We start from the raw sequence: 21,307 nt of genomic DNA, 5'->3' as shown, positions 1-21,307 counted from the left end.
CAAGGTGGCAACCATTCCTGTCCTGCACTGGCAGCACCAAGGTATGTTTGGCAGGTAACTTGACAAGGGTCCCTCGCCCATCCCAGATCCAATGTTAATTTCTGATCAGATGTTAATTTTTATAAAAAACAACTCCTAAAGAGTTTCTATGTGCAGCAGGGTTTAGATATAGTTTAGAAAATATTAGATTCGTGGAAGAGTCTACCTTTCCTAGGGCTTACTTTTCTCAGCCAGGCTACTGACAAGAACAGCCTCCTATTGGAGGTGTTAACTCTTGCTAAGATTGAAGTCACATGTGCTGTGTAAATCTTACAAGAAGGCAGAGCGACATACCACTCTGAAATCTGAAATACAGAGCAAGGCAGCAGTGAGGACGATGGACAGGTAGTTTCCTTGGTTCTTTCTCTCTACAGGGTTGGTTCTCCAGTCAGCTTGGATTTTTTTTTTTTTTTTTTTTGAGACGGAGTCTGTCACTCTGTCACCCAGGCTGGAATGCAGTGGCGCCATCTCAGCTCACTGCAAGCTCCGCCTCCTGGGTACATGCCATTCTCCTGCCTAAGCCCCCCAAGAGGCTTCCAATAAATCTCCTTTTGTGTAAATTGGTCAGATTGGTTTCTGCTGCTTGAAAACAAAGAACTCTAATTGCTGTGGTGGATTAAGAATAAACGCACTTCACATGGAAAAAGGTTCTCACTATGCGGTTCAGTGAAAAAGAAACAACAGCTGGTGCAGTAGCTTATACAATTTGATTATATCCTTTTAAGAAAAAAAATGTGAATATATCCCGTTTTTAAAAATCTATAGATATATAACAACGTTAATTCTGGATATTTCAGGGTAATGGTTTACGCGTGAGTCTTACTGTCTTGTTTCTGTGTCTGTTTTCTCATTTTCCTATAAAAAACTTCTGTATTACTTGAATTTTCAAAAATTTCATTATAGGCCCAATTACAAATAAAATTTTCTCCCCAAAATAGTTTTACTAATTCAACAGTTAATCTAATTAACAGTTTAAGCCATTCAAATCTCTTAATTTTCCCTTGTGAAGTACCGTATCTCTGCATCAGTAAAGTCTTGGGAAAAAAAAGTAAACAGCCGTGAAGAACTTCAGAAGAGTAAACACATTCTCAGGCTAAGGAAGCAAAAGTTCACGAGCAATGTTCAGTTCCAGTCAAGTCAAAAACAAAGGACTCTAGGATGAAAAACTTTTGTTGTTACTGACATGTTACTTAAAAATAAAACAAATTTCCTAACAGAATTCCACCTTAAAAGATTGAATTGACCTCAAAAGGAGACTAAAGAGACATGACAACCAAATACATACCTGATCCTAGACTACATTTATTAATGAAGGGGAAAGCAAGGCTATAAATGATTAGACGAGACAAAAATGTCATTACCAATGACTACAAGGATATATAAGAACTTTTTTTTTTTTTGAGACAGAGTCTCACTCACTCTGTCACCCAGGCTGGAGTGCAGTGGTGCTATCTCGGCTCACTGCAACTTCTGCCACCCAGGTTCAAGCAATTCTTGTGTCTCAGCCTCCTGAGTAGCTGCAACTACAGGCGCCCGCCACCACACCCAGCTAATTTATGTATTTTCAGTAGAGACAGGGTTTCACCATGTTGTTGGCCAGGCTGGTCTCGAACTCCTGACCTCAAATGATCCATCCACCTCAGCCTCCCAAAGTGCTGAGATTACAGGCGTGAGCCACCATGCCCGGCCAGGATATACAACAACTTTTATTTAACATTGTTTAAAACTATATATGCCAACTATGTATTCTCAATGTTATAAGGACAGACAAAATTTTAGGAAAACTTTTCTGAGATCACATATACAACTACACAAATCAGGATTAAAAAAAACCCTATCATTTCATTTATGCATGCCCATTTGTTGATTGCTCTAACAATACTGGGAAATTAAGTTAGTTTTCTTTTGCTAAAATAACAAATCACATTTCCCTCAAACATCAAAAACAATTTTTTAGTAACTAATGACTAGAAAAATCCCCTCCTTAAAGTAGCTTAAAAACCTGAACAGCTTAAATAGCTCACTTTATGTCATAAAGACATAAATAAGTACTAATGAGGCTTTCACACAGCCATCTGAAGTATAACAGCAATTTCCATTTTGAGGAATCTTACCCACTCTTCAAAAACCCGAGTTCAAATCTCACCTCCAGATTCCAGTTGGCTACTTACGTCCTCTTACCTTCAGTAACTCCTTGCAGCTGTCAAGCCCAATATCCACAAGAATACCTTTCACCTTTTTTCGCACCTTTCTGATGTTGTCAAGATTTTCCACAGGAATTTGAAACATTTTTGAAATTTTCCTTAAAAGGAAAGAAAACAAAACTGTAATAAGTACATGTATATAATACACAAAAATACATTTTTTGACAGGGTTGGTAAAACACTAGGAATAGAGTATAATTTTCAACAAATTGTTGTAGAACGAGTGAACATTCATATGCAAATGAATGAGGTTGACCTCTTCCTTACACCATATACAAAAATTAACTCAAAAGTGGATCACACACCTGTATGTAAGACCTAAAACTATAAAACTCTTATAAGAAAACGTAAGCATAAACATTGATGACCTTAGATTCGGCAAGGAATTCCTAGATAGGACACCAAAAAGCACCAGTAATGAAAGAAAAAATAGGTATGGACTTCACCAAAATTAAAAATTTTTATGCTTCAAAGGACACCATCAAAAAAGCAAAAAACCCACAAAACGGGAGAAAATATTTGCAAACCATTATTCCTTTCTAATAAGGAACTTATATGCAGAATACAGATAACTCTTGTATCTCAATAATTAAAACACAGATAACCCAGTTTACAAATGGGCAAAGGATCATAGACACTTCTCCAAAGAAAAATGTCCACTAAGGTACATGAAAAGATGCTCAGGCAGGGAACAGTGGCTCACGCCTGTAATTCCAGCAGCTCAGGAGGCTGAGGTACACAGATCAGGCAGACTGTTTGAGCTCAGGAGTTGAAGACCAGCCAGGGCAACATGGTGAAACCCTGCCTCTACAAAAAATACAAAAATTAGCCAGGCATCCTGGTGCGCACCTGTAGTCCCAGCTATCCAGGAGGCTGAGGTGAGGGGATCACCCGAGCCCAGGAGGTCAAGGCTGCAGTGAGTCTGATCACGCCACTATATTCCAGCCTGAGCAACAGAGTGAGACCCTATCTTAAAACAAAACAAAAAAAAATGCTCAACATCATTAGCCATTTGGAGAAATGCAAATTAAAACCACAAAGAGATACTGTGCCCACCAGGATATCTATAAAGAAAAAAAAAAGGAAACGTGTTGGCAAGGACGTGGAGAAATTGGAACTCTCATACATTCCTAATAGTAATGTATACCAGTGCAGCCAGTCTTCATGTGTGCCTGAAAACAGTCTGGCTGTCCCACAAAAGATTAAAAATATAGGTAACATATGAACCAGCAATTCCACTCAAGAGAAAAGCATACATCCACCCAAAAACTTATATAAGGATGTTCATGACAACACTATTCAGTCACCAAAATGTGTAAACAAACCAAATGCCCCTGCATTGGGGCATTTGATAAATAAACTGATGACTGGATAAATAAAATATGACATATCCATACAATAGATTATTTGGCCATAAAAGAAATGAAATACATACATGCTACAATATGGACAAACTTTGGAAATATGCTAAGTAAAAGAAGCCAGACACAAGGACCACATATTGTATGATTCTATTTATGTGAAGTGTCCAGAACAGGCAAATCCATAGAAAGCACAACAGTGGGCCGAGTGCAGTGGCTCACACCTGTAATCCCAGCACTTTGGGAGGCCAAGGTGGGTGGATCACCTGAGGTCAGGAGTTCAAGACCAGCCTGGCCAATATGGTGAAGCCCCATCTCTACTAAAAATACAAAAAATTAGCTGGGCACCTGTAATCTCGGCTACTCGGGAGGCTGAGGCAAGAGAATTGCTTGACCCTGGGAGACAGAGGTTGCAGTGAGCCGAGGTCGCGCCACTGCACTCCACCCTGACCAGTAAGAGCAAAACTCCGTCCCCAGAAAAAAAAAGCACAACAGTGGCTGCCAGGGCTGGGAGAACTGGGAAGTGATGGAAGCAGGGCTTCTTCGTTCTGAACTCAACTGTGGTGATGTATACGCAATGTGAATGAGCCCACAGCCATTCACTGTACACTTCAAACTGGTGAATTGTATGGTACATAAATTATATCTCAAGCTGTTTAAAACAATATCTAAAAAGGCACAAAATTAAAATAAACCCTGTAGTACTTGACCAGACTAGGGGTTACTGAAGTGAACTCATTGTTTTCAACACACAGATAGAAGAATAGAGATAGTTTGAGAGTGTGTGTCCACATACACACATACATTCCATAGCTCTGCCCACTGAGAGTGCCTGGATGCAGTTATACACCCCAGTAGCAGTGGGCACAACTAGGGCTCAAACCTGAATTCCTAAATACCGCTTTCCTTTAAAAAGAACCCTAGGAAAAATGGCTGGAGCATGGTAAAGACAAGATGAGCCTAGAACATCCTGTGCCGGAATATAAAGCAGTTGCTCAATGAGGCATGTCAACAGAACACAGAAGTAACCAGCTTGAAAGGGCTCCCATAGGCCAGATACGAGACAATGTGGGCATATATCAAGTAACAGATACAACCTGTGGCAAAGTGAATTTTCCAAACACACAATACCTTCCAACCCACATGCTCTTACAATACGGCCCTAACACTCCTCCCAAAAGTGGCAGCATCTAATGCCCCCTCCTGACCTTTGGGCAGAACTTTGTGGCTGCCTTGACCAATCAAGTATGGAGGAAATAATGCCATGAGAATTCCAAGACTAGATCATAAAAATGCCACATACCTCTCTCAGGATGATCATGCCCAGAATCTAGATACCACATGTGTAGAAAGTGCCAACTAGCCCACAGAGACACCAGGTAGAGGTGTTCCACATCAACTACCAGCATGGGAGTGAAGATGCCTCTTGAGGATTCCAGCCCTAGCTGTCAAGTCACCCCCTGCCTTTGAGTCTTCCCAGATGAGGCCCAGACACTGTGGACCAGAAACAAACCATCTCCCTTCCCTGTCTGAATAGAACTGACCCAGAGAACTGATGCGCTTCTTAAATAAAATGTCTTACTCCAGTAAGTTTGGGGTGGTTTGGTATACAGTGATAATCTATATAGTTATATAGACTATAACCCGCTCGAATGTAGTGATTTCCTGATTTTGATGGTTTTGTTATGGATATGTAGGAGAATGTTCTTGTTTGTAGTATTTAGGGTAATGTGGCAACTTTTTTGGCAACTTATTCTCAAGTGATTCAGGGAAAAAAGTTATTTGTACTATACTTGTAACTTTCCTAAAAATCTGCCAACTATTCCAAAATTTAAATGTGTAGGCTATAAAAGCTAAAATATATATCAGTCAAACTCAAGTGGCAAATATTTGGTTATTCAACTTTAATAATAAAGAAATGCCATTTAAAATGTCAAATTTTTATTATCAAAACAGTAACTATTAAGATTACTAACATCTGGTGGTAGTAAAAGTAGAAAAATTTTAATTTTTATGCTTTTACAGGGTAATTTGGCAATACCTCTCAAGATCTTTTTTTTCTTTTTTTTTTTTTGAGACAGGGTCTTGCTCCTTCACCCAGGCTGGAGTATAGTGGCTTGATTACAGCTCACTGCAGCCTCAACCTCCCAACCTCAAGCAATCCTCCTGCCTCAACCTCATGAGTAGCTTGGACTACCGATGTATGCCACCACACCTGGCTAACTTTTTTTTATTTTTTGGTAGAGACAGGGTCTCCCTATGTTACCCAGGCTGGTCTTGAACTCCTGAGCTCAAGCAATCCTCCCCGTCAGCCTCTCAAAGTACGGGGATTACAGGCATGAACCACCATGCCCAGCTCTCTCATGATTTTTAAGGACAATTTCTGAGTAAGCAATTCTACTTCTACATTCCTCTCTTGTATCCACCACCCAAGGACAGGCTTAGTGATCCCTCCTAGGACTTAGTACCATAACCACATACCACTCCACTGCACTCGACTCACCATGTTGCAATTATCTACTTATATATCCATTTCTCCTATTGGGCTGAACTACTCCAGGGCAGAAATCATGTTATATTTGCTTGAGAGGGTCCCATCACAGAGCACAGTACGTAGCAAATGTTCATTAAATGAACAAAAGATATAAAATAAAACAGGATAAGAACCGTAAGATATGCAGAAAGTGCTAGGAGGTTCTAAAGAGGACATGGCTATGGAAAGCTGGTGCCCAAGACATACAAGGTGAATAAATTAGCATCAAAAAATTATTGAGGTAAAGAAGGAAAAGTCTGAATTTATTTGGCAAAAGTAAAACCAAAAAGGTGGACTGGAATCAAACTGGGAGAGGAGTGGGAGGCAGAAAGGGTTAACATATAATAGGGAGAAATTTTTGGTGGGTAACAAGCAAACACCAAGTTTTTGAGAAGCTGTTTTGAAGCGGATAAATTTCTTTTCAAAGTTATCTATGTGAAAAATGTATCCTGGTCTCAGCAAAAGGAGAGATTTAAGGATCATTAGCATTGTAGAACTGGGAGGATAAAAATTTAAAAATTTTCTTTATAAAATTTTAAGTTTAAAAATTTTCTTTAATAAAATGCACTGATTTGGGTTCTAGCCTTCAAAAGCTTACACTCTCACACAAGAGCTGCCATAACCTCATTATGCATTTCTAAACACTAAGCTCAAGGTCACTTTCTGGCCCAGTCCAGCTTCTTTGGTCAGAGCAAAACTCAACGAAAATTTTGTTAGCTGCTTTCCAGGGACTCTATCAGACTTGATTTCATTTCCTCCTTAAAGTTCCACTATCCTCTCTATCCTCTGGGGTTCTTCTCCAAAAGCTGGCTGACAAACAGTGTTGTCTAAAGTAGGGACCATCATCCATATGTATCTGAAACAGGGAAGCTAAATTTACTGCTTCCAAGAAAATCTCAACTCACACAGCCAGAGCTGATCTTATCACAGAGTTTTGAGAAGCCTGGGATACAAAGACTGGTGGACTTTTAAAAGCAGAGTGATTGGGGATTGGCTGATTCATGTAAGCATGGTTGTACATACATGAACCTCAGAAAGGGGTTACTAAAATGAGGCTCTCAGAGATTGGGCAGGGGTCTGTGGTTACTTGTTCAAGGCTTGGGACTAGGGCCAAGGAGTTGTCACTTTTTTATTTTTTTCCCTTGAATTTGAAAAATAGGAACTTTTTATTCTCAAATGAAAGTGCTTCCATTCCTTCATCGTTATTGTGGCCCTTCTAAACAAAACAAAACACAAGCACACAAATACCTTTTCATTTAAAAAAAGGAGGGGGAAAAGTTCCCCCCTCCTTTTTTTTTTTGTTTAGCAGTTTCCTAACTGCTTTAGGGAAACCAACAAAGGATAAAAAATAAAATGCAAGTAAATTACAGGTTTCATAACTGTTGCCAACCACTTTGGGGATGGGAAGCTGACTTTTACCCATAATTTATCCATTCTAAGCTACCACAATTTATTCATTCTTAGATCCATTCTTATAGCATAATTTATCAATCCTAAGATAAAATATTCCATGTAAAATGCCCAGTGGATGAATTAACTATGAAATAGTTCAATGTTTTCATATTTATAGATCCTCTATAGATACTGTTCTCCATAGAATCTTAGAGCTCAGTAAAATCTGTATTTTCACCATTAGAAAACAGCAGGCTAACCGGGGCGGCCAACTATTTCCACATCATGCACCAACCTATCAATTTCAATTCAAAATAAATCTCAATTCCTAATGTTTAGGGTAGGCATGGAACTACCATAAAATTCCACTGATATGCACAAGAAAATATTATTTCCCAAAAGGGTACATAAAGGACTTCTCTGGGGATTTTTTAGTATAATGATCTCGTAAGGATATTCTATTATAGAAAAAAAAATACATTCTAAAAGAAAATGTTGGCCGGGTGCAACGGCTCACACCTGTAATCCCAGCACTTTGGAAGGCTAAGGCGGGCAGATCACCTGAGGTCAGGAGTTGGAGACCAGCCTGACCAATATGGTGAAACCCTGTCTCTACTAAAAATTACCAAAAAATTGGCTGGGTCCTACTCGGGACGCTGAGGCAGGAGAATCGCTTGAACCCGGGAGACAGAGGTTGCAGTGAGCCGAGATCACACCACTGCACTCCAGCCTGGGCGACAGGGCAAAACTCCGTCTCAAAAAAAAAAAAAAAAAATGTCATTCAGGTAATACAGTAATAAACAATACTTTTTAAGCCACAGAACTTTTTTTTAGTTCCTGTGAAATCGCACAAAACGATGGTCACCAAAAAGGATTCTGGAGTTGTGTGCCCGGGTTTACATCAGCTCCACCATTTATGAGCTGTGTAATCTTCAGGAAATCACTTACTCTCTCCAGGCCTCAGCTGGCTCTTCTGTAAAACAGGGCGAGTATGACCTAATTCACAGAGTAGTTATGAGGATAAATGAGTTAATACATGCAAAACAGCACATAAGCACTGAGTTTGCTATTAATTAACTCCAAAAAACTAAATGAAATGTCCCAACTATTGGAATACAGGACTTTTTAAAAAGCAACTTTAAAAACACAGAATACTTGGATCATATATTCAGCAGATCTGGGTTCAAATCACTGGGAGATACCGGTTTCCACCTATGTAACACATTGCCCTAACAGGTCTAGGATAGCCAGAGGATGAAGGGCAGGGCAGAAACCAAGTTTGCAATATGCTATTGGTGAACTTATGAGGGCAATCATAAATTAACCAACAGCATATTGCAAACTTGGGTTCAAATTAAAAACGTGTCTCCCAAATCCCAGAATCTCTTCAGCTAAAAATCTTAGCATAGCTGTCATCTTCCCCCATAAACAGTGATCAACTCCTTTCAGACATGTCCTAACCCTCACTGTTCCTCCCCTCAACTAGAGGGCCGGTAGGACAACCTCTTGTCTCATCTTCACTCTTGTACTTCCTTTCTTAACACACATCTGTCACTTCATGTTTAAGGACGACGGGCTCAATGCTGTCTTCGCAGTGAAGTCCTAACTCCAACCGAAATTTAACCGAAATATTAATACACACTCATACATGGCCAACTCTCCAAGAACATCTTTAAATAAGTTACACATACATTACCGACTTCCAAATACAGCTGAACATGTACTTTACACAACTCTTTTTACATGTGGTCCTCTCTCCCACTAATGCTCCTCACCCCCAAAAATGGTACCCAGACTCCAAACCCCCTCTTTTGATAAAGGCTCTGCGTGGCAGATGCCCACAGTACTCTACAAACTGCTGCCCCACTTGCCAATCTGCATTGTCAGTTACCTGCTTACCAGTTTCTCCTCCCCCACCCCACTCCTCCACAGCCAGTATATTCCTCAAGATCCCAAGAGGCAGTGATTACCCGTGCAAATAGAGTAAGTTTTAAGCACGCAGGCAAGTCTTCTGTTCAAATAAACTACTTAAAATATCTAATTATTTCTCATTCTGCATCTGTACAGTATTTAAAAGGGCAGTTAAAATTAACATTCCAAAGTCAACTGTAGTAGAAATTTTGTAAACGGAATCTATTTCAATGCAACCAGCAACGGCAGATGAAAAGTAATGTTAAAGTCAACATCTGTATATCAATTATTGATATTCGCATCAAAAGCTCAACGATGAAGAAACAGGGCCCCGTTATCAGCTGTTCTTCAAACCTTTCTAGGGAAAAAAAAACCTGGGCAGATTTAGGTGTCACCGTCAGCTCCTGACCTACATCTGCCGTCACTCAAGGCTCCTCCAGAGAGAAGCTTCCAGGAGAACCCGGTCTCGGGGATGCGGCGGGCGGGCCAGCGGGCGGGGCGTTTCTGGAGTCCTTACAGGGGTCGCCACAGCTCCTTGCCCCCTCTCTTCTTCTCCATCCCCGTTCCCTCTCCCTCTACTCCTCGCTCCCTTCACCAGCCCCCCTCTCTCCCTCGGTCCCCGTCCTCGTCTTTCCCCTATTCCTACTCTCCCCTCAGGTCCCCATCCCCTTCTCCGCCCTCCCGGGGCGGCCCCCGCTCCCACGTGACCGGCGGCGGGCGGGGCGGGCCGCGGGCGCGTCGGGGGTCGACGGGCGCCGTTCGGGCCGCGAACCCGCGCCCTGAGAACGTCCCGGGATTCCCGAGGCGGCCACGGGCGGCGCGAGGGCAGGCGGCGGGCGTGGGTGTGGGCTGGGTACCGGCGGGGGCGGGGCTCGGAGGGGACCAGACTGGGGCGGGGGCCAGGACCGGGGCAGGGGGCGTCGCCGCGCGGGCCCGCGCCGGGCCGGGCCGTACCTACCGCTTGGCGCCCGAGGAGCACCGCGTCTCCGCTGCTGCCTCTCGCAGGGCTGCCGCGTCTTCCGCCGAGCGCAGCCGCGTCCCGTGGGGCCGCCTGCGCCCGCCCGCGCCTCCGCCCCGCGCGGCGGGACCCCCGCCTCAGCGCGCGCCCACCCCCAGCGCGACTGGTCCCCTCCTCCCGCGCAGCCAGAAAGAGAAAATGGCGCTCGATTGGCCTCAGGAAGTGACGTTGGCCCTCATTTGCATGTAGGCGCAGCCAGCCAATGAGAGCAGAGTGTGCTTGGGGGCCCCTGGCACTTCCCACAGGCCCCCCGGGGCCCCTGGCTAAAGATGGACTGGAGGCTCTGGGGTGGCAGTGGGGGGCCCCTGTTGGACCCCCTGACTCCCTTCTGTCCCAGGGAACTGCCCTGCCAGCTCCTTTCCACATCTGTGCAAACTCTCGTGAGAGTTTGAGTGGGCAATGACGTCACTAAAGGGGTGGGGAGAGTGTGTCATCAACCATGTGACTAATCACGTGGACTCACCACAGCTTTGACTTCATTTGCATGGAATGGGGTGGAGCTAGTGGCAGCTCCAGGAGTGGTGACCCCGCCCACATCTCAGAGCCAATGGGAGCCCAACTGTGATAATGCTGCCTTGCCATTGGAAGACAAAACTTTGGCTCCCAGAACTGGGACAAGTGTGCCATGATTGGCATATCCTGGTGAACCGACTAGCTGGGGTCTCCTGACTTCATCATTCCTGTGGGAAAGTGATCACACCTTCTCTTGAGAATTCTGATTTTTAGATCTACTACAAGTTGTGTGGGGAGAGGGTTAATTGCATACATTTGTATAAACTCTTAACCTAAAAGTTCATTTTTGCACAGGTGTTTATCAATTGTGTAGCAATAATAATTTATTCCACAAAATTAGTGGAAACATGGCGTAGGGCTTTCAAAATGGCTCTAGGTCTTCGTTCCGTGGAGTCCCCAGGCCTCTGGCGGACGCCCTCGTGCCCCAGAGCACGTGGGAGTAACCACGAGGGCAGCGCAGGCGCCTCCCCCAGTGCCCCTAACCTTAACCCTAATTCTGACCCTGCACCTGAACCTCACCTAGCACTAACCCTGACTCTGACCCTAACTCCCCTCCAGTGTTCCTTCCCCTGACCCTAACTCAGCCGCGCCCTCAGTGGCTGTTCCAGGCAGTTCCTTCTTGGCGAAGCCGTCTGCAGGACACGTGCCCCTTTCAGCACAAGGCCACGTCTCCTTCCAGAGCGCCGAGCCCCTGCAACCCGCCGCCAGCCTCCAGCCCTGAGGCCCACTCCAGCCACCGCGGGGCAGAGGCCGTGCCCAGGCTGGGCCTTCCGCCCACCGCCCTCTCCAGAGCCTCCTTGTCACCATCCGCTCGTCCATAATTTCAGCTTTTCCCTCTCAATGGGAGCCTTCTGCTCAGTTTAGCCCAGTGACTAAACACATAATAGGCACTAAATTAATGTCCATATTCGTTTTAAAACTGTGTTAAATGGTGGGCCGATATGACCTGACCAAAATTTGCTTTTTTCCTACATGAATACAAGTCATAATTGAAGTAGAGTTTGCCCTTTATGTTTGCTGACAAGTTAAGATTTTACTTTGAGTTACAGTGGTAAATGGGTGTGATGTCCCTATATATCTTCCTTGCAAAATTATGGGTGGGATGAAAAGTGTAGTTAAAGCCTGCAGTCTCCCATTGATCCTCTAGTGACCTCTCATTTTATCACATTTCTCAAAACAGCAGTCCCTGTGTCTGTCTCCTCAGCCCCCTGCACGCCTCTCGCCCCCACCCTCACCACTCTGCAGAAACGCCTTGGTCACCAGCGCCCTCCTAATTGCTGAGCCCAAAACAGATTTTAGGCCTCGTCTTTCTGTATCTATCTTCCATTTGTTACTACAGACCAATCCCCCTTTCCTACAGACCTCCCGCAACAAAGCCGCCCCACCACCACTACTCCTCAAACGGGCTCTTTAATCTCCAAACTCGGGAACTGTTTCCTAATCTACAGACCTCCCCCCACAAAGCCGCCCCCCCCCACACCCACTACTCCCCAGACGGGCTCTTTCATCTCCATATTCACGAACTGTTTCCTCATCTTCGCCTGCATCTCTTCCCGGCCCATCCTTGAACGCGGTGTTCTCTGGGATCCTGCTGACTTTTTCCTTCACGGTGCAGCACATATGCGCCACTCGCTTCCTGTGTGCCAGGCACCGTGCTGGGTATTGGAACTCCCACGCCTTTCATTTTTTTCTGCATTTTCTCCCTTGTTAATTTCGACCACAGATTCAAACCTTGTTATGTCAATTCCAAACCAGTATCTCCATCTCTTTCCTACGTTTCAGTTTTATTTTTCTGGCTGCCAAAGGGGGCAGCTCCACTTCAGAGTCCCACAGGCAACTCAGATTCAAAACGTTCAAATCTGAGCCCATCATTCTCTCCTCAACAGCCTCTCCTACAGCAAGCAGTGTGTTCCCCATCTCCAGTTTTCCAATTTTATATCCCAAATATTCGTCAGATCTCTTCCCTCATCTGCAGCCGCACTATCACTACCTGCATTCAGGTCATCTCCTGCCTGTAACACCTGCACAGGCTCCCACCACCTTACCTCCAGCTTGGTGCCTCAGGTACTTTCCCCAGTCAGCCCTTTTAGAGAGTGAACCTGACTGTCCTTCCCTTCTTGCTGCAATCACTCAAAATCCCCCAGGAATCAAGCCCAGCTGGTGAGCACGACACACAAATTCTCCAAAGCTGACCAGTCAGTCCCCAGCCTGTAAACACCACACGGTGTTTGTTCATGGGACTCCTGTCCCAACCCCTGAGCTAATTTTCATTCCATTGCCATTCAAGGCTGAACTCTACCGGCCTCTCTCCCAGAAAGATCTCCCTGAACACACACACACACACACACACACACACACACACAGTCAAAATATGGTAGGTACTTCTTGACATTCCCAAAACATTGTGTGTGTCTCCTGCTGCCCTCACCACGTTGTTTACTGTTATCTGCTCACTGCTTGTCTCTCTATGGGGCACCAGTAAGGACCGTGTCTCATTCATCATTGTATCCCTGATGCCTACATTACTTTAATAAATACAATATCAACATTTTCATAAATACAAATCTAATAAATATAATAAAATTTAAATGTTGAATGATTTTCCCCCTGCATTTTGCTATGAAAATGTTGAATGTACTGAAAAGCTGAAATAATTGTTCAGAAAACAACCATCACCTAGCTCTTCCAGTTAACATTTGCTTACTTGCTTTATCGCATATGTATTCAAATATTCATCTCGACTGTTTTTTTTTTTAGAAAACATCAGTACACCATCCTTAAACACTTCAGCATGGATATCTGATGAATACAGTTTAAAACCACCATCCACAGCATTGAGATAAAAAGGACTGTCCCTCCCACCACAGAAGGAATGAGCAATGTGACCTGGGGACTTGTCAAGATTATTTTCATAGACTCAGGAAAGTGCACCACACTGAAGTCATCAAACCGAAGACACAGGTTGGGCCTCAGGACTTATCTACCAGGCGAGTCACAGCTCATGCAGGTTTATTCTGCACACCCGCTCCTGAATAACAAGAAGACCACAGACTTGGTGGCAGTATGAGTAGATTCCTCGACCCCGGTTGTTCAGCTAGGTTTGAAAGTGAAGATGGCCCATGTGGAAGCTTCCCACTCTCTCATCTAGGTCCCCCTATAACCAGCATCGGCATTTGTAAGATAGTTGTTCAGAACAAAGGGAGCCCCAGAGTTGACTGTGGCAGCCACAGGCACTGTTGTGTGAATTAGAAAAGCAGGGGCCCTCTGGGTGTGTTGCTGTCCTCCGGGACCTGGATGGTCAAGATGAAGGTGCCTTGATATGTTTTTCAGTATCACTTCCTCTGCCTCTGTGCAGACCCAGCCTCACAGCAGGGCACAGACCTATGTGAACAGAGCGAGCTGGATTTCAGCTCCCACTTCCCGCTCTGCTCACTCTGTGTAAAGACAAGTGTGAACAACTGTAGTCAGCAGCCCGACTGGTCTACGCACAGACGACTGTGCACATGCAAGTGTACAATCCAAGAAACTGCAGAGTTCATCTAAAACCAGTGAGCCACAGGAGAGGAGAGCTTGGAGAACAACTTACATGTACTCTTTCTCTACTTTGTTTTTTGAGGTTTCTTTTTTTCTCTTAGAGACAGGGTCATACTCTTAGAGGCAGGCTGCAGTGATAGGATCATAGTTCATTGCAGCCTCGACCTCCTGGGCTCAAGGGATCCCCCCACCTCTGCCTCTCAAGTAGCTGGGACTACAGGTGTGGACCACCATGACTGGCTAAGTTCTTCGGTTTTGTTAGAGAAAGGATCTCTCACTATGTTATCCAGACTGGTCTCAAACTCCTGGACTCAAGAAATCCTCCCGCCTCAGTTTCACAAAGTGCTGGAATGAGAGGCGTAAACCACTGCACCAGGTTATTTCTCCCCTTTATTCTGCATACGCTCTGTGTAGGTCCAGCAGGCACCAATAATACAGTGCTGAGCAGACTCCATCCCTGCTCTCCTGGAGCTTAAGCTAATGGAGGAGAAAGGCATCCGCGAAATAACTACATGATGAAAATATAATTATAAACCTTGGTCAATGCTCCTGAGAAAGGAAATCTCCATATATGCCTGTGACCCAGAAACCTGATGTAGACCAGCAGTCTCCAAGAAGCAGGGTCTGGGATCAGAGGATAAGTAAACACTGGCAAAGCAGAGCTGTGAGAGGCGGAGAAGAGAGGTCTGTGAGAGGCCCCAAAGAAGGCCTGCGCCTGAGGGAGCCTGGCACAGCCAGACCAGAGCAGTCAAAGTGCAGGCCACAGGAAGACGAGGATCACAGGGGAGGCCAGGGCCAGGCTAGGAAGCCATTTGGGTCTTATTAAGACCAAGGAGAAGCCAAGGAAGTGGTTTCAGTGACCGGGTTGATAAGATCACATCTGCATTTGAAACGTACAGCAGGGCTTGTCCTGCGGAGAAAGGAATGTTGATTGAGGAAGGGAAGATGAGGCTTAAGAGGAGGTTGTGGGAGCAGTCCTGGTGAAAAACGATGACAGCTGGGAACTTAAATGAGGGTGATGGCAGTGAAGATGAAAAGAAGTGGCCAGCCTTGAGAGAAACTTCGGAGGGGAGGGAACCTGCAGTTGTTGGCATGGAGAGCTGGAGGCAGGCCCCAGAGGTGGGCGCTTGTTTTTGTGGATTTACTGGCTTTGGAAATATGCTTGGCTTTCTCTAGTTGGTCCTGAATTGGAAGTGGAAACAATAAAAGCATGGAAAACTGGCAGTCATTGACTAAGTCCTGGCCATTCTGGTCTGATTGCTGCAGAGGCATAGGTCAGAGATCGTCTTACACGGTCAGACCATTGTCTGTTGGCACATTCAGTTTGGTCTCCCTTCCCCTTTTGGTCATTCTCTCATTGGAGAGTTTGGACAGCTCAGGGGAGGCTAGAGATCCAGATCTTCACAGCTTGGGGGTTGTCTGGTTGCCTCCATAGGCAATCATTTCATGAGAATTCTTTTATTTGTGTTGTTGTAGCATCATGGAGATCATCTGATGACAGAGCAGCTGCACAGAAGCATTGCAGACTCTGCAGAGGATGCAACCAACAGCATCATGACCACTGTGACAAAACAAGACTAATAGTTCTCATAAGATGCTTCTGAACTGGGAACACCAGTTTCCCATCCCAGGACAAGAGAACAAATCCCATAAGCCGTGAGGATCAGCCTTAAAGAGATAAATAGTTTTTTCCTTATGGCATTGTATAGTCTCTTCCACTTTGCCTGTTCTGTTCATCCAAGTGCAGTGAGAAGTACTAGCAGCAGCACAGATGCCACGACACCAACAAGAAATCTAGAGCAATGGGCTTGTTCATCACCAAGTATACCAGTGAGTCGAGACTGGCCTGTGTTCCATCCAGGGCACGGGAGGTGGTGTTCACACTTCTGCCAGAGTGAGTAGTAATTTTCTCAAAGTCTCCTCTACTTGTATGATTCCCACCTCTGGGAATACAGCTCTGGTTGTTCGTATAAACAATGAGTCAGTAATTTCTCCAGGAATAGTGCCTGAATGATCAGCCGGATTTCCAGCCTTGGTGATTTCTAAAATTAGAGTCTCTATGTACAGACAAGTCTCAGAATCCTATTCCTAAAGTGCGTGAGAGGCTGGGCAAGGTGGTTCATGCCTGTAATCCCAGCCCTTTGGGAAGCCAAGGTGGGCAGATCACCTGAGGTCAGGAGTTCAAGACTAGCCTTGCCAACATGGCAAAATCCTATCTTACTAAAAATACAAAAATTTTAAAAAAATTAAAATTAAAATAAAAAAATTAGCCGGGTGTGGTGGTTGGTGCCTGTAATCCCAGCTACTGAGGGGGCTGAGGCTGGAGAATCATTTGAACCCAGGAGGCAGAGGTTGCAGTTAGCCAAGATTGCACCACTGCACACCAGCCTGGAAGACAGAGCAAGACTCTGTCTCAATAAATAAATAAATAAATAAAAATAAAAAATAAAGTTCATGAGAGCAATCAGCTCTGGACCCAAAGAAAGTAGTATCCAATAGGGGTGCATGGAGATCCAGGAAAAAAGGGATTTGTCTATGACACTAGGTTGGAACCAAGGTTTTACATTAGCTGGGTTATGCTAACTGGGTCTCTGTTGATATCTTTAAGGTGGCAAATATTGGTCTATCACTCTGTGAAGGTTGTTGAATGTAAATTTAGTTTTAGGTTTTATTGTTCATGTAGGTGCAAGTGGAAACGCTATCAGCTGTGATCCACTATGTCTCATTTAATAAAACTAGAATTGCCTAGAGGTTTTCATCATTGGAATGTGGTGATTGATGGCATGTCCTGTAGTCAGTAAGATTGAGGGCACTGACTACTGTCTGGGATAATCTGAGAATGGTGTTAGACTATTTTCTGATCTATTATAAAAAGGGAAAAAAAGAGAAAAAAGGGGTCATTATGAGTGGACAGCAACAAGAGGCCTATAGAAAATTAGAAGAATGATCATAGGCAAAAGATGAAAACTAAAACAGGAATCAGAGTCTTGAATGTCTTAAGCAGAAACTTTCCACTGTTTGAGCTTGTTCTAAAGGTCTTGAGTCAGCTTCCTACTTCCTAAGATGGGTTCCTTGTGGGGAATCTCTAAAGCGTGAGGTCTGCTCTTGGAAGAGGCTTCCAATTGTGTGGGATTCTGGATTGCTTCTTTAGCAAGTTGTGAAATGTTACTGGAGTTTCACTGCTGTGGTTGTTGTTAACGTAGATGGTAAGTCCCTTCCAACACAATTTAAGAGCAATTTTCTCAGACATCTCTTCTAACAGACAAAATCTCCAGGTTGAAGATCATGAAGAAGCTATTTAGGAAGATGTTGTAAGAAGGGGGCTGTTGAATATTGAACATCACCAGTATTTTGCTCGTCTGGGTGCAGCAGGGCAGAGGCTAGTATCAGAGATGAAATCCCTAAATGCATTACAAGTTGTCTTAGTCCATTCAGGCTGCTATAACAAAATACCAGACTGGGTGGCTTATAAACAACAGACATCTATTTCTCACAGTTCAGGAGGCTGGGAAGTCCAAGATCAAGGCAGTGATCGGATTCAGTGTCTGGTGAGGTCCTAGGTCATCATCGAAGGCCATCTTCTCACCATCACCTCAAATGGTGGAAGAAGTTATGGGTCTCCCCTGGACCTCTGTTTATAAGGGCACTAACCCCATCTGTGAGGGCTTCACCATCATAACTTACTCACCTCCCAAAGACCCCACTCTTAATAAATCACATTGGTGGTTAGGATTTCAACATACAAGTTTTGGTGAGACATTCAGTCTATAGCACCAGTTCAGAGGGTAATTGATGTCACCCTGAAGGAGGGAACCATACGGCCTGAAGGGGAGTGGGATTACCTTTGGCCAAAGGAGCTCCAGGGTTTCTGAAATTTTTCCTACCTTTAATTTAAGGATGCCATTGGCTCTCTCAATCTATTCAGAATATATGGGTAGTGAAGGCAGTGTGGTTTGGGGGTAGGAGGTAACACTTTATAGGATCCTCTTATAATGGCTCCATAGAGTGTGTGCCTTGGTCACTTGATGTGAAAGCTGAGATGCTCCAGGTTGGAAACATGAAAGCAAGCAGCTTTTTAGGAACTGTAAGGGCTGTGGCTTTTTGGTAAGGAAATATTTTAACCCACCCTGAAAACAGACATGCAATAACAAACATCCTCAACTCTCACGGCGGGCAGAAGCCAGGTAAAATCCACCTGTATTAGTCTGTTTTCACACCGCTGATAAAGACATACATGAGACTGGGCAATTTACAAAAGAAAGAGGTTTATTGGACTTAGAGTTCCACGTGACTGGGGAGGCCTCACAATCATGGCAGAAGGTGAAAGGCACGTCTCATGTGCTGGCAGCAAAAGAGAGGAGAGCCAAGTGAAACGGTTTCCCCTTATCAAACCATCAGATCTCATGAGACTTATTCACTACCATGAGAACAGCATGGGGAAACCGCCCCCATGATTCAATTCTCTCCCACTGGGTTCTTCCCGCAACCCGTGGGAATTATGGAAGTACAATTCAAAATGAGATTTGGGTGGGGACACAGAGCCAAACCATATCACCATCTGAAGATGCTCACGGGGCTCTTGAGATTTTAATCCCTGGCCATGTTCCATCTTTACGGATTTTTCCACGATTATATTGTCGACAGGTCATAACACGTGCCTAAAATAATCTCAACTATCTTTTTAAAGTTCTCCCACCAATATTGATTTAAGATAGTAACCAATTTGTCTGTACCATGAGCAGTAGTTTCATTGAGAAATTTAGCCAATATTCATCTGAAATCATCTAGTACCACCAACAGGCCTTCTTAGAAGTGCCAGAGATTATCTGAGTAACGGTACAACCGGGCTTCTTCCATAATAGTGGATATCTTATAGTGGCCTCTTTGAATCCCTCCAGGGGTTTATTCTTTAGGGGTTAGATTAGGATCACAGCCTTTGTTAAAACTGTTTGGCATGAGGACCAAGTATTTCCTTTAGTTTCCATGGTGTCTCTTCTTGCCTAGGCCTCAACCTTAATAGAAGGGAAAGGCCTCACCTCTTTAGGAAGTAGGAGTCCAGCTAAAAGCTTCTGAACTTATCCATTTTGGATGGGGGTCCCAGTAGAAGTGAGAAACCTCCTCTGTTTCCAAAGCTTCCCACAGTTGTGTGCTGCTCCCAAAGCCCACCTGCTGCCTCTGTGTGCAGCCACTCTGGACTCTGACTGTCTGACAATCTCTAGTAAACACAGTGAGCTTGGCCATCAGGGTTGATTTTACATCGGGAGAGGATGATATCCTTAACAAAGAATAGAAGGTGGTGATAGCACATCCTACCTGACCACCCCCAGCTTCACTTTTGAGCTACAATCCATTCACAAATAGTATTAGGTCAGGGTTCTCCATCGAGGTCTCCAGTGAACCTAAAAAGTTACAGAAGGCTCCCTGGCTGAGGTAGCACTCCCTTGAGGCTCCCTTTCCTTGGCAGGGGCATGACAGCAGGAGGATTCAGGGCATTGCAGCGTGAACAGTAAGTGGAGAGGAACAGAATCTCCTAAAATGCTAATTGGCTGCCTGGGAAGTATGCATTCTCAGACAGCAGCAATGTCTGCATGGAAGCAGGAACAAGGAGGTCAAATGGGGAGACAAGAACTGTGATATGGTTTAGCTCTGTGTCCCCACCCAAATCTCATCTCGAATTGTAATCCTCGTGTGTCACGGGAGGAACCTGGTGGGAAGTGATTGGATCACGGGGGTGGTTTCCCATGTCATTCTTCTGATAGTGAGGGAGTTCTCACTATCTGATGGTTTAAAAGTGGCAGTTTCCAGTGAGTTCTCTCTCTCTCTCCTGCCACCATATTGGAGGTGCCTTGCTTCTCCTTCACCTTCTGCCATGATTGTAAGCTTCCTGAGACCTCCCCAGCCAGGTGGAACTGTGAGTCAATTAAACCTCTTTATAAATCACTAGTCTCAGGTAGTATCTTTATAGCAGTGTGAAAATGGACTAATACGCTGGGTGCAGTGACTCACGCCTGTAATCCCAGCACTTTGGGAGGCCAAGGCAGGCAGATCATGAGGTCAGGAGATCGAGACCACGGTGAAACCCCATCTCTACTAAAAATACAAAAAATTAGCCAGGTGCAGTGGCAGGCACCTGTAGTACCAGCTACTCAGGAGGCTGAGGCAGGAGAATGGCATGAACCTGGGAGGCGGATCTTGCAGTGAGCCGAGATCATGCCACTGCACTTCAGCCTGGGCGACAGAGCAAGACTCCATCTCAAAAAAACAAAAAAATAAAAAAAATAAAATGGACTAATACAAACTGGTTCATTAGAAGCCTCAAAAAGTTTTCAGCATCAGCTATTGTCCTAAAACAAGGAGAATAAGCCTCTGCACCCAGATCAAGGGTAAAGCCATAGTGAGTCCAGGGTCTTTGACGGTTCCCAGGAAGTTAAGTAAAAACCCCAAGCACTGGCCGGGCAAAGTGGCTTACGCCTGTAATCCCAGCACTTTGGGAGGCTGAGGCAGGCAGATCAGGAGGTCAGGAGATCGAGACCATCCTGGCTAACATGGTGAAACCCCGTCTCTACTAAAAATACAAAAAAATTAGCCAGGCATGGTGGTGGGCGCCTATAGTCCCAGCTACTCGGGAGGCTGAGGCAGGAGAATGGCACGAACCCGGGAGGCGGAGCTTGCAGTGAGCTGAGATTGTGCCACTGCACTCCACCCTGGGCAACAGAGCGAGACTCCATCTCAAAAAAAAAAAAAAGAAACCAAATGGATGAGGATGTCAATTTTTCAAGGTCTCAAGGCCATCAACAAAATT

General features: G+C 44.7%; 1 protein-coding gene across 5 annotated transcripts in view, besides 7 other annotated features; it reads right to left on the bottom strand.

The window, feature by feature from the left end:
• Window positions 1–10,609, bottom strand: part of ADNP2 (ADNP homeobox 2) — a 31,085-nt gene extending 20,476 nt beyond the window's left edge. The window contains exons 1-2 of one of the 5 annotated variants that reach the window (NM_014913.4): window positions 10,399–10,609; window positions 2,221–2,341 (exon numbers count right to left, since the gene is read on the bottom strand). In NM_014913.4, coding sequence (NP_055728.1) covers window positions 2,221–2,328 — 108 coding nt within the window. In that variant the 5' untranslated portion in view covers window positions 2,329–2,341; window positions 10,399–10,609. The other 4 variants (XM_011525883.3, XM_047437350.1, XM_047437351.1 and 1 more) reach the window with 4 other exon arrangements.
• Window positions 271–1,196: an enhancer, noted in NCBI's record as "OCT4-NANOG-H3K4me1 hESC enhancer chr18:77876558-77877483 (GRCh37/hg19 assembly coordinates)". NCBI's record gives its function as "activates a minimal SCP1, AML or CMV promoter by ChIP-STARR-seq in primed H9 embryonic stem cells {active_cell/tissue: H9 hESC(primed)}" and the evidence as "EXISTENCE:reporter gene assay evidence [ECO:0000049][PMID:30033119]".
• Window positions 10,088–10,187: a silencer, noted in NCBI's record as "silent region_9592". NCBI's record gives its function as "represses an Ori minimal core promoter by ATAC-STARR-seq in GM12878 lymphoblastoid cells {active_cell/tissue: GM12878}" and the evidence as "EXISTENCE:reporter gene assay evidence [ECO:0000049][PMID:35858748]".
• Window positions 10,357–10,858: an enhancer, noted in NCBI's record as "H3K27ac hESC enhancer chr18:77866897-77867398 (GRCh37/hg19 assembly coordinates)". NCBI's record gives its function as "activates a minimal SCP1, AML or CMV promoter by ChIP-STARR-seq in primed H9 embryonic stem cells {active_cell/tissue: H9 hESC(primed)}" and the evidence as "EXISTENCE:reporter gene assay evidence [ECO:0000049][PMID:30033119]".
• Window positions 10,388–10,547: a silencer, noted in NCBI's record as "silent region_9591". NCBI's record gives its function as "represses an Ori minimal core promoter by ATAC-STARR-seq in GM12878 lymphoblastoid cells {active_cell/tissue: GM12878}" and the evidence as "EXISTENCE:reporter gene assay evidence [ECO:0000049][PMID:35858748]".
• Window positions 11,685–12,186: an enhancer, noted in NCBI's record as "H3K4me1 hESC enhancer chr18:77865569-77866070 (GRCh37/hg19 assembly coordinates)". NCBI's record gives its function as "activates a minimal SCP1, AML or CMV promoter by ChIP-STARR-seq in primed H9 embryonic stem cells {active_cell/tissue: H9 hESC(primed)}" and the evidence as "EXISTENCE:reporter gene assay evidence [ECO:0000049][PMID:30033119]".
• Window positions 14,513–14,622: an enhancer, noted in NCBI's record as "active region_13548". NCBI's record gives its function as "activates an Ori minimal core promoter by ATAC-STARR-seq in GM12878 lymphoblastoid cells {active_cell/tissue: GM12878}" and the evidence as "EXISTENCE:reporter gene assay evidence [ECO:0000049][PMID:35858748]".
• Window positions 15,479–16,222: an enhancer, noted in NCBI's record as "OCT4-NANOG-H3K27ac hESC enhancer chr18:77861530-77862273 (GRCh37/hg19 assembly coordinates)". NCBI's record gives its function as "activates a minimal SCP1, AML or CMV promoter by ChIP-STARR-seq in primed H9 embryonic stem cells {active_cell/tissue: H9 hESC(primed)}" and the evidence as "EXISTENCE:reporter gene assay evidence [ECO:0000049][PMID:30033119]".

Source organism: Homo sapiens, chromosome 18 (assembly GCF_000001405.40).
Source record: "Homo sapiens chromosome 18, GRCh38.p14 Primary Assembly".
NCBI lineage: Eukaryota > Metazoa > Chordata > Mammalia > Primates > Hominidae > Homo > Homo sapiens.
Note: the sequence above shows the minus strand (reverse complement) of the source record. Positions and strands in the feature narration are given on the sequence as shown.